The 12,457-nt window shown below is 37.5% G+C and overlaps 1 protein-coding gene and 1 pseudogene across 12 annotated transcripts in view; one reads left to right on the forward strand and one right to left on the reverse strand.

The window, feature by feature from the left end:
- Window positions 1–12,457, forward strand: part of ADAM32 (ADAM metallopeptidase domain 32) — a 177,389-nt gene that overhangs the window by 47,675 nt on the left and 117,257 nt on the right. For 8 of the 12 annotated variants that reach the window (NM_001313994.1, NM_145004.7, XM_011544433.3 and 5 more), the window contains 3 exon segments: window positions 5,694–5,762; window positions 9,561–9,632; window positions 9,827–9,993. The exons of 1 other annotated variant lie outside the window; for it this stretch is intronic. In NM_001313994.1, the coding sequence (NP_001300923.1) occupies window positions 5,694–5,762; window positions 9,561–9,632; window positions 9,827–9,993 (308 nt within the window). 12 annotated transcript variants of the gene reach the window in all.
- RPL3P10 (ribosomal protein L3 pseudogene 10) lies at window positions 2,279–3,516 on the reverse strand (annotated as a pseudogene).

Here is a 12,457-nt window from a genome sequence, read left to right on the forward strand (position 1 = left end):
ATAGTATTGGAAATTCCAGCCAGGGCAATCAGACAAGAGAAAGAAATAAAGGATATTCAAATTGGAAGAGAGGAAATCAAATTGTCCTCATATGCTTTCTTAGTTACTGCATGTCATTGTAATTTATGGTAATCTGTGTCAAGAATTTCAATAGCCTGGATGGATGCATAGAGCAAAGTGGCAATAATGGTAGTAACAGAGGCAGTATAGCTCTACCTTTATGTGACAATAGCATGACATTGAGAGAGGCCAAACATGTGAGGCTTCCTGAACTGACAGACTCAAGATATAGTTGCTTATACCAGTAAAATAGTCAATGGATGGATTAATTTCTGAAGTAGTAGGGTTTTCCTTGATGTGCAGAAGCAAGATGACACAATAAATATAAAGAGCAGTGTGGCAGTAGATTCAGGAAAAGAGATGTCTAAGCCATACAGAGCACCAGTTGTGGATCTCGACTCACTGCAACCTCTGCCTCCTGGGCTCAATAAAGACTTAATTTGACATTTGCTAATCGTTTTCTATATGTCTTCTATCTTTTTTTGTCTCTATTTCTCTATTACTGCCTTCTTTTGTTTAGTGGATTTTTTTCTAGTATGTCATTTTGATTCCCTTCTCATTTATTTTTCTTTATGTAATTTTGATTATTTTCTTAGTGGTTACTCTGGATATTACAATAACATCTTAAATTTATAACAATCATAGTTTGAATTAATACCAACTTAGCCTCTATAGTATACAAAACGCTGCTGCTATACAGCTTTGTCTTCTTTATGTTTTTATTATCACAAATTATCTAATAACATTAAGCTATGTTAATGATAATACAATGTACAAGCTATTGTATAGTAATACAATAGCTTAATAATTATTGTTTGATACATTTTCTCTTAAATAATTTGGGGAAAAGTGAGGAATAACAAAACAAAAATATAATAATAGTATCTTTTTTTTTGGAGGCAGGGTCTTACTCTGTCATCCAGGCTGGAGTGTGGTGCTGGTGCTGTGATCACAGCTTACTGCATCCTTTACCTCCTAAGCACAGGTGATCCTCCTGCCTCTGCCTCCCAATTAGCTGGGACCACAGGCATGTGCCACCATGCCCAGTTAATTTGTTTATTTGTAGAGACTGGGTCTTCCTTTGTTGCCCAGGCTAGTCTCAAACTCCTGGACTCAAGCAGTCCTCCCATTTTGGCCTTCCAGAGTGCCAGGAGTATAAGTGTAAGCCACTGCACCCAGCTATAATAATATCTTCTATAGTTACCAATGTATTTACCTTTACTGTGTTTTTAATTTCTTTTATTGCTTCTTGTTACTGTTTTGTGTGCTTTCATTTTAAACTGAAGGACTACCTTTGGCATTTCTTGTAGGGCAGTGTATTAGTTTACTACAGCTGCCATAACAATTTACCATGGACTGGGTAGCTTAAACAAGGATATGTATTTTTTCACAATTCTGGAGCCTGGAAGTTTGAGATCAAGGTGTTAACTAAGTTGTAGTTTCTTCTGAGGACCCTCTGCTTGGCATATAAGTAACCACCCTCTCCCTGTATCTGCACAAGGTCTTCCTTCTGTGTTTGTGTTCTAATTTTCTCTTATAAAGATACCAGTTACATTGCATCAGAGCCCATCCTAATGACCTAATTTTCAATCTAATTACCTCTTTAAAGGCCCTGTCTCCAAATACAGCCTCATTTTGTGACATACTGGGGTTAGATCTTTAACATATGAATTTTACTGGGATACCATTTGGCCTATAATAAGCAGGCAAGTCTACTAGCAATGAGCTTTTTCAGTTTTTATTTATCTGGGAATGTCTTAATTTCTCCTTCATTTTTGAAGGATAGTTTTGTCAGATATAGAATTCTTGTTTGACAGTTTTTTTCCCTCCAGCACTTTAAATGTCATCCCACTGCCTCTGGCCTCCCTGGTTTCTAATAAGAAATTAGATATTACTATTATTGAAGATCTCTCATTTGTGAGGAATTGCTTTTCTCTTGCTGTTTTCAAGGTTCTCTTTTTATCATTAACTTTGGACACTTTGATTATAATATGTTTTGGTGTGAATTCTTTTGAGTTTATTCTACTTGGAGTTTGTTAAGCTTCTTGGATGTGTAGATTCATATATTTCATCAAACTGGGGAGGTTTTCACCCATTATTTTTCAAATTTTCTTTCTGCCCCTTTCTTCTCTTCTGCTAGGAACTCTTCTTATTTATGAGCTTGATGGTGTCCCACAGGTCTCTTAGGCTCTGTTCATTTTTCTTCACTCTTTTTTTTTCAGTGTCAGATAACTTTTATTGAGATCCCATCAGCTGTACAATCTGTTCCTGGCATTAAGCTCCTTCTTCCTTTGCAATCTGGTCTTTCTTGAGTGGTCCCATGAATGCTTCTTCTCCATGGTTTGGAAGCGGCCATGGCCAAATTTAAAGGTAGTGTCAATGAACTTAAGGTCAGTCTTCTCCAGAGCCTGCTGCTTGGTCTGCATCAAGACTTGTGGAGGATGAGCGCTTGCCTCTTAGTTCCCACCACACAGCACTTCAGCATGACAAAGTCATTGGTCACTTCACCATAGTGGACAAAGCCACCCAGAGGGTTGATGCTCTTGTCAGGTTATAGTCAGTGGAGGCACTGATCAATTTGCCATCCTTGATGAAGTAGCCCTGACTGATATTATAGATCTTCTTGTTGATCTCAGTGCAGTGATAGTTTGTGTCTAGTACGTGCCACAGAGAAGGTCATATGGGCAGGATGCCATGCCCCAATATAGGCAACCTTCCACAGCCCTCAGTGGGTCTTGTAGGGCAGCTTCTTGGTATGCCAATGACTGGTGACCTCTTTGTAGCCTTTGCCCTTGGTCACCCGTTTGATGTCAATCATCTTGTCCTGCCCAAACGCTTGCTTCACAGGTACCTGGTCCTCTAGCCTCTCCAGAGACCAGTCCAGTTTCTCGGTCACAGTGCCTCTGTTCACCTGGATGTCCATTAGGTGGGTCTTCTTCATACATAGAGGAAGCAGGTGCATCTGGGTGTAGATATTCAAGCATGCTGTTGAAGTCCTTCTTCAGCTGCTTCTTGTCATCCTCACCCTGCAGTTTCTTGCAGTACTTGGTAAAAGCCTTCTACTTCGCTTTATGCCAGTTCCTATAGAAGTGCCTTTTGCACTCATTGCTAATGTGCTCAACAAAGATGGTCTTGGAAATTCAGAGGCCTTGAGGGGTTTCCATGTAGCCCAGGATGCCTACTACCACCATGGGCAGTGTCTCCACAATGGTCATAGCCTCTACCCCTTCCTTCTTGTTCACCTTGGGTCCTAGCCGGCCAGCTTCCCACACGATGTGTCATGCCAGCCTTGTATCCCAGGAAAGCTGTGAGGTGGACCAGTTTAGAAGGGTCATCACTGGGGAAGCTCTTCACCTTGCCATGATGCCTACTGCTGTGTTTCCAAGGCAGGAAGCCCGGGGACCCATGTCTTGGAGCAAAAGATTTCCTGCGAGACATCATGCCATCAAATCCTGCTTTATTCTTTGATTGTGCTCCTCAGATTGAATAATCTTGATTGATTTGTTTTGAAGTTTGCTGATTCCTTTTTTCTGCTTGCTCAACTATGTTATTGAATCCTAGTGAATTTTCATGTGTTTTACTTTTTAGCTCCACAATTTCCTTTTTATAATTTCTATATTTTTATGGATACTCTCTATTTGGTGAAGTATCATTCTTCTGGTTTCCTTTAGTTTTTTTTACATAGTTTTTCATAGCTTTTTGAACATATTTTAAAACAATTAATTTACATTATTTGTCTAGTAAGTACAATGTCTGGGCTTCCAGTGGTACCATTTCTGTTTCTTTATTTTCTGAGAATGGGCCATACTACTTTCTTGTTGTTGTTGAAATTTGAACATTTTGAATATTTTGATGTGGTAATGCTGGAAATCAGATTCTTCCTCACTCCCCAGCAAGGTGTGTTGTTACTGCTTGTTGTGGGTTGTAGTTGTTTGCTTGTTTACTGACTTTTCTAAAGTAAAGAAATATTTTGTGAACAATATTGTTTAGTAGTCACCAAGTGATTTGATAGAGATTTCTTTAAATTACTGGAGCCAAAAAAGAGAAAAGACTTCCTTGGTTTTTACAGATTGACTCTGGGTTTGGATATACATGCAACACTTATTCCAGATGTTGACAACTCACCCTTAGCCTTGACTCTTGCTTGTACAATGTCTGAAAGCCAGGCAGAGGAGAAAGCTTAGTGTCTTTTCAAGTCTATTCTGAGCAAGTGTCCAGCCTTGGACATGTGGGTGGCCCTCTAGATTTCCCAGTATATGCCTGAGGTTTTCAAAGCCTTCATTTCTCCACCCATTTCCTTCCTCAGCCTCTTTCTTCCTAGACTTTTTAGTGTGCTTGCTGCTTTTCTTGTCCGTTTTTCCTTGCTCCAGGTGGCTGCAGCCAGTGTATTTGCCTTGAAATGCTTTTTATAAACACTGCCTTGGAGTCCACTCCAACCCTGTGAAATTTCATGGTGGAGGAAACAAAGGAAAGCTCTTGAGCAAAACCTTTAGGGAGCCACTGGACAGCTCAAAACACATAACCATAATTCTTTGAGAACAAATTTGGTATTTCTTCCTCTGGCACGGGAAAGCCACACCAGGAATATGGGCCTCTATCTTAATGGATGCCAATGAGCTGGATGTGTGAGATGGGATGGTAGGTGGGTCAGTTCAAGGACCACAATACTCCCTTATAGAAACCCAGCAGCTTTTTTCCCCCCTCAAGCATTGTCCTGTTTTTTATTTTTATGTTTTTTTCTGGGGCAATTGCGTGAATAGGCCATTTGCTCTTATCATCTGGCAGTCTGGCCAGATGTGTACAGGCAGGGATTCCAAGATCAGGAATGGCAGTATGAAAGGCGACTTAGGCTCAAGATTGGCAAAACAACACTTCTATTGCCTTTATTGGCTCAAACAAGTTACAAAGCCCAGCCCAGATTGAGAGAGAGGAAAAATGAACTCACCTCTTGATGACAGGCACTGAAAAGTCATATTGCAAAGGACACAAATACAGAAAGGAGCGCGGTGGCTCACGCCTGTAATCCCAGCACTTTGGGAGGCCAAGGCGGGCGGATCGCGAGGTCAGGAGATGGAGACCATCCTGGCTAACACAGTGAAACTCCGCCTCTACTAAAAATACAAAAAATTAGCCCGGCGTGGTGGCAGGCGCCTGTAGTCCCAGCTACTCCGGAGGCTGATGCGGGAGAATGGCGTGAACCAAGGAGGCGGAGCTTGCAGTGAGCTGAGATCGCGCCACTGCACTATAGCCTGGGCGACAGAGCGAGACTCCATCTCAAAAAAAAAAAAAAAAAAAAAAAAAAAAAAATCCTCCACACACATATAGTTTTTAAAGCAAAAGTTTATTTCTGATATGCAGATGAAGTAGATGGAAATGCTAGGTGTTTTTTCTTAGTTCATAAATTGGAAGTTGTAGATATACTGAGATAGATGTTACAACTTCATGGGCAATCTTCTAACTACTTGAGTACATTGCCATAAAACTTAAAACTTTATTTATTAATTTTAACCAATTTGATAAAGCAAACACCTCTGCATATCTTGTAAGTGCTGTGGTATTAGCTTTAAAGAAGAGTTCAAGTAAAAAAATTATGAAATTTTTCATGTATTATATGCTGTTTTCCTTTTTTCTAGTCAGAACCAGCTGTTCCAGATTTATTTCCTCTTTATCTAGAAATGCATATTGTGGTGGACAAAACTTTGGTATGTGTTTTGCTTTTTCTTTGCTTTGAAATATTTGATCCAAATGTATGATTATGCCTAGCTAGCTAGACAGAAACTAAAAGATTCCAATGTTCTTACTCACATGTCATAGAGACAATAGTGGAAAAATGTGCAAACTGAGAAACTAAATAGTCAAAATGATACTAGTTTTATCAGAAATGTTTTATTTGAAATACTTACACAACAGTACTGCAGAACAAAATGTATTTTTTTCCCTGGCACTTCACATTTCTAGAGTCCCTCTCAATCCATACTACCATTTAATGGTGATTTTGGTGGAAGTGAAATTCTATTTTAGGGAAGTTTGAAGAGCAGAATGTAGTCTAGGGAACATTCCACCCTAGAATATTTATTGGAACAAAAGTGATGATAGTATAACTATCTACTAGAATGACTTTCACTAATGTGTCAAGAAGTTTTTTAGCAGTTTTTGGTGGGGCACCCATTCTAGTCCATTGTTTACCTGTTGAAAAGAGTACCTCGAGATTCCTAATTTCCATAAACAGTCTGAGGCCTCTGAATTTCAGAACGTTAGGGTGACAACTTAGTTTGCAGTCAACTAGGTATGTCTTTATTTCTTTTAATAGTTGAAAGATTTCAGAAAATAGAGATTAAAAATATACTTTCTAGGTTTTATTCTGATGATAAGCCTTTATTTGTGTATACCTATGGAATACCACAGCGGGTATGACTAATACTCTTTACCAATTCTATTCCTAGGGTTTAGAGCTTGTCAGGAAGCCAGAGTTAAGGTCAGGGACCAGGATTTGGAGAAAGAGATGAAAATAACTTGATTAATTAGAGTACAGGGAAAAGGGAAAAGGGAACATTTAAGAGAACATTGAGACATTGAGATAGTTGAGAGAAAATTGAAGTATTTCTGATAAATATGACTAAGTTTCCAGGGAATATTTTGGATTTTGAAACTCCTTTTGTTTTTGGATTATGTTATATATCTTGAGAGTAGTTTCAAAAGCTTCTCCAAATTGCCAGGTTTTCTTTTTTATTTTATTTTATATATATATATATATATATTTATTATACTTTAAGTTCTAGGGTACATGTGCACAACGTGCAGGTTTGTCACATATGTATACATGTGCCATGTTGGTGTGCTGCACCCATTAACTCATCATTTACATTAGGTATATCTCCTAATGCTATCCCTCCCCCCTCCCCCCACCCCACAATAGGCCCTGGTGTGTGATGTTCCCCTTCCTGTGTCCTAGTTTTCTCGTTGTTCAATTCCCACCTATGAGTGAGAACATGCGGTGTTTGGTTTTTTGTCCTTGCGATAGTTTGCTGAGAATGATGGTTTCCAGCTTCATTCATGTCCCTACAAAGGACATGAACTCATCATTTTTTATGGCTGCATAGTATTCCATGGTGTATATGTGCCACATATTCTTGATCCAGACTATCATTGTTGGACATTTGGGTTGGTTCCAAGTCTTTGCTATTGTGAATAGTGCTGCAATAAACATACGTGTGCATGTGTCTTTATAGCAGCATGATTTATATTCCTTTGGGTATATACCCAGTAATGGGATGGCTGGGTCAAATGGTATTTCTAGTTCTTTTACACTGTTGTGGGACTGTGAACTAGTTCAACCATTGTGGAAGACAGTGTGATGATTCCAAATTGCCAGGTTTTCAAGTCATATAATGCTGATTAAACATTTCTTCTTTATGTTCTTATACATTTTTACATATTCTTTAGTAAAAAAAAACCCTTGGTCGGGTGTGGTGCATGCCTGTAATCCCAGTACTTTGGGAAGCTGAGGTGGGTGGATCACCTGAGGTCAGGAGTTCCAGACCAGCCTGGCCAACATTGTGAAACCTTGTCTCTACTAAAAACACAAAAATTAGCCAGGCGTGGTGGTGGACACCTGTAGTCCCAGCTACTCAGGAGACTGAGGCAGGAGAACTGCTTGAACAAGGAAGGTGGAGGGTGCAGTGAGCCGAGATCGCACCACTGGCCTCCAGCCTAGGCAACAGAGGAAGACTCCATCTCAAAAACAAAGAAACAAACAAACAAACAATCATAGTATTCATATTTTCTTCAGTGACTTTATAATTTGTAAATCCGTAATTATGGCATAGTGAATTCATTGCCATGATTGTAGAAAGCATATGGTTCTATATATACACAGTTTAATAATGGAGACAGACATGGAAACACAACTGTAAGTTGTTATACTATAAGAGCATCCAAGTGGGTGTTTTAAAATGTAGGTTTTATTACTACTCAGGTATATTGAAGCCAACAGATCAGTAGATGGTTGCTATTGAAAAGACAGGCTGTTACTCAGTTTCCAATGGTAGGGGGCACTCTCCATCATTCAGGGCCCACAAAGGGAAGGAGGGAAGATGTCATTGAAATATTTTAAATAGGGGAGTGACATATTTCTATTTTACCTTAGAATAATCATTTTGGTAATAGTGTAGGGACCAGATTGCTGGTGGGAAAATTGGGGAAGGAGGAATCAAATTTTAAGAGACTGTTCTAGTAATCAGGGTGAAAACTTAGAAATTAGTGGCATCAAGAATAAAAATAAAGGAACAACTTTAAAAGTTACTGATTGGGTTGAATTAGAAGAACTTGATTTGATTGATTTATTCGTTTACTTAACAAATTCATTGAGCATCATCTAGATAACAGTTGCTGTTCTAGCCATTGGGGATATAGCAGTGAATAAAACAGAACAATTTCCGCTCTCATGGAGCATGTAGTGTAATAAATGTAGGATGTGTTAGATAATAATACCATTCACTAAAGTAGTGAAAATATAAGTAGGAAGAGATTTTTGAAGGAAGACGATGAGTTTAGTTTTGAATATATTTATTTTAGTTTTGGATATGAGTTTACTCTGGGATAATTTGAGGATCCTGTGGAACATCCAAGGTGATGTACTATAGAGAGTTTGTCTATGGATATATACAGTTTGACATAGTTGCAATCCAGTTTTTCAGATTTCAAGAGCGATGTATATGTATGTATACATACACACACACTCATTTGTGTGTGTGCATTTATGTACAGTTTTATGCAATGGTATTACATAGGTAGCCTTCCATAACCATTGCCACAATTGAGACACTCAACAGTACCATCACCACAGCACTCTCCTGTGTGATCCCATTAGAGCCACACTGATCCCCTGCCCGCTTCTGAGCCTTTGGTGTCCACTAAGCCATTCTCCTTCTTTGTGATTTCACACACATTGCATAAAGTTATCAAGCAGTCTGTATCCTTTTGAGATTATGTTTTCATGCTGAGCATAATTTTCTTGAGATTTATCCAGGCAGTTCCATATATCAACATTTGTTTCTTTTTATTGCTGAGTTTATGGTAGGAATGTACTACAGTTTATTTAACCATTTAACCACTGAAGGATATATGAGTTATTTCTAGTTTTTAGCTATTATGAGTAAAGATGTTATGGACATTCATGTACAAGTATTTGCGTGAGGATCAGTTTTTTGAGATAAATGCTCAGAAGTGAGATTGCTGGGCCATATAGTAAATCCATTCTTTGTTTTGATTTCAAAGAAGTTGAAGTTACCAAATTATTTTCCAGAGTGGCTGTACCATTTTACATTCCCATCAGCAATGCATGAGGGATCCAGTTTATATTCAGTTTTTACTTATTAATGTTTTATTTTGAACTGTTGAAACCCAAAGCAGCCTTACACCTCTGACAGTAGATGGAAAAGAATCTTAAAAATACTACATAATAATTTGTACTTAAATATAAAATTAATTCTGTTTTTCAGTATGATTACTGGGGCTCTGATAGCATGATAGTAACAAATAAAGTCATCGAAATTGTTGGCCTTGCAAATTCAGTAAGTGTTTTCCTTTTCATATTAAAATAATTGTTGTTTTGAAATGATAATTTGCCTAAACTTGATGCGGTATTCCTGGATAATTAACCCACCCATATAAACTGAGTGTGGGATTGTAAAAACTTTGAATTTCTGGGTTTTTATAAGATAACATAAATATTAATTATGCATGTATTTATCTCTTCTGTTTTTAGATGTTCACCCAATTTAAAGTTACTATTGTGCTGTCATCATTGGAGTTATGGTCAGATGAAAATAAGATTTCTACAGTTGGTGAGGCAGATGAATTATTGCAAAAATTTTTAGAATGGAAACAATCTTATCTTAACCTAAGGCCTCATGATATTGCATATCTACTAATGTAAGAATAATGTTTCATTATTCCTAGAAAGAAAACAAAGACCTGTGATAATTATGTGGCTTAATGTAAGGAATTATTATTCATTTCTGAATATCCATGCTTTGATTATTTAGTATGTGCTTTATTCAGGCTTTATGCTCAATTTCTAGTTGTCAGGCAATAAAAAACTTTACTAACATTTATTTCTATGCTAATAAAGCTTTTATAAATGAAGACATTGAGAGTTTCAAGAGGTTAAGCCATCTCAGGACTCTTGGATCTGGTGGTACTACTAGGTTTGAACCCACAGTTCGTAACTCTAGAGCCAAAACTCTTAACCACTACTTAAAGAGATGGGATTTATCTTGAGAGGTTTACATTCTTAAATAAGCTTTGACCAAAGACTTGGTAAATGTGGCTACAAAGACTTTACCCTAATGAATTTTCTGAGTAATTTTAAAATGTTAGTTTTCTAATTATAAATTATAGCTATATATTTATAATTGTATTCATATTAAATTTATTAGCAATAATTAGCAAGTGTCTTTCAATGAAACTATACATGTCTATATATGTATTTAAGTTTGGTATGTCAGTGTTTTCTTTTGCTTGTGTGAGACTAATCTTTCCCTCACATCTCTGCCAGCCATAAATGTTACTGCTCTTTTAATTTTTGGTAGTCTGATGGATATAACTTAATGTCATTGTCATTTTAATTTGCTTTTTTTCTGATGACTGGTGGATTTGAGCATCTTTTCAAATGCTTGTTGATCATTTGTATCTGTCCTTCTGTAATTGCCTTTTCTTGTCATTTGACTACTTCCCTATAATTTGTAAGGGTTTTTAAAAAATAATTTCATTATCTTTAATATTTATATTTTTTCCCCATAAGTTATTGGGGTACAGGTGATATTTGGTTACATGAGTAAGTTCTTTAGTGGTGATTTATGAGATTTTGGTGCACCCATCACCTGAGCAGTATACACTGCACCATATTTGTAGTCTTTTATCCCTCGCCCCACCTCCCACTCTTCCCCCCAGTCCCCACAGTCCATTGTATCATTCTTATGCCTTTGCCTCATAGCTTAGCTCCCACATATTGGTCAGAACATACGATGTTTGGTTTTCCATTCTTGAGTTACTTCACTTAGAATAATAGTCTCCAATCTCATCCAGGTCGCTGCAAATGCAGTCAATTCATTCCTTTTTATGGCTGAGTAGTATTCCATCACATTGCCACAGTTTTTTTATCCACTGGTTGATTGATGGGCATTTGGGTTGGTTCCATGATTTTGCAATTGTGAATTGTGCTGCTATAAACATGCGTGTCTAAGTATCTTTTTCAATTAATGACTTCTTTTCCTCTGGGTAGATACCCAGTAGTGGGATTGCTGGATCAAATGGTAGTTCTGCTTTTAGATCTTTAAGGAATCTTCACACTGTTTTCCATAGTGGCTGTACTAGTTTACATTCCCACCAGCAGTGTAGAAATGTTCCATGATCACTGCATCCACACCAACATCTACTGTTTTTTGATTTTTTGATTATGGCCTTTATTGGAGGAGTAAGGTGGTTTTACATTGTGGTTTTGATTTGCATTTCCCTGCTCATTAGTGTTGAGCATTTTTTTCATATGTTTGTTGGCCATTTGTATATCTTCTTTTGAGAATTGTCTATTCATGTCCTTAGCCCACTTTTTGATGGGATTGTTTGTTTTTTTCTTACTGATTTGTTTGAGTTCATTGTAGGTTCTGGATATTAGTCCTTTGTCAGATGTATAGATTGTGAAGATTTTCTCTCACTCTGTGGGTTGTCTGTTTACTGTGCTGACTGTTCCTTTTGCTGTGTGAAAAGCTCTTTAGTTTAACTAAGTCCCAACTATTTATCTTTGTTTTTATTGCATTTGCTTTTGAGGTCTTTGTCGTGAAATTCTTGCCTAAGCCAATGTCTGGAAGGGGTTTTTCAATGTTATCTTCTAGAATTTTTATAGTTTCAGATCTTAGTTTAAGTCCTTAGGTTAAATCCATCTTGAGTTGATTTTTGTATAAGGTGAGAGATGAGGATCCAGTTTCATCTCCTACATGTGGCTTGGGAATTATCCCAGCACCATTTGTTGAATAGGGTGTCCTCTCCCCACTTTATGTTTTTGTTTGCTTTGCTGAAGATCAGTTGGCTGTAAGTATTTGGGTTTATTTCTGGGTTCTCTATTCTGTTCCATTGATCTACATGCCTATTTTTATACCAGTATCATGCTGTTTTGGTGACTATGGCCTTACAGTATAGTTTCAAATCAGTTAGTGTGATGGCTCCAGATTTGTTCTTTTTGCTTAGTCTTGCTTTGGCTATGAGGGCTGTTTTTAGGTTCCATATGAATTTTAGAATTTTTTTTCTAATTCTGTGAAGAATGATGGTGGTATTTTGATGGGGATTGAATTGAATTTTTAGACTGCTTTTGGCAATATCATTTTCACAATATTGATTCGAT

Source organism: Homo sapiens, chromosome 8, assembly GCF_000001405.40.
Source record: "Homo sapiens chromosome 8, GRCh38.p14 Primary Assembly".
NCBI lineage: Eukaryota > Metazoa > Chordata > Mammalia > Primates > Hominidae > Homo > Homo sapiens.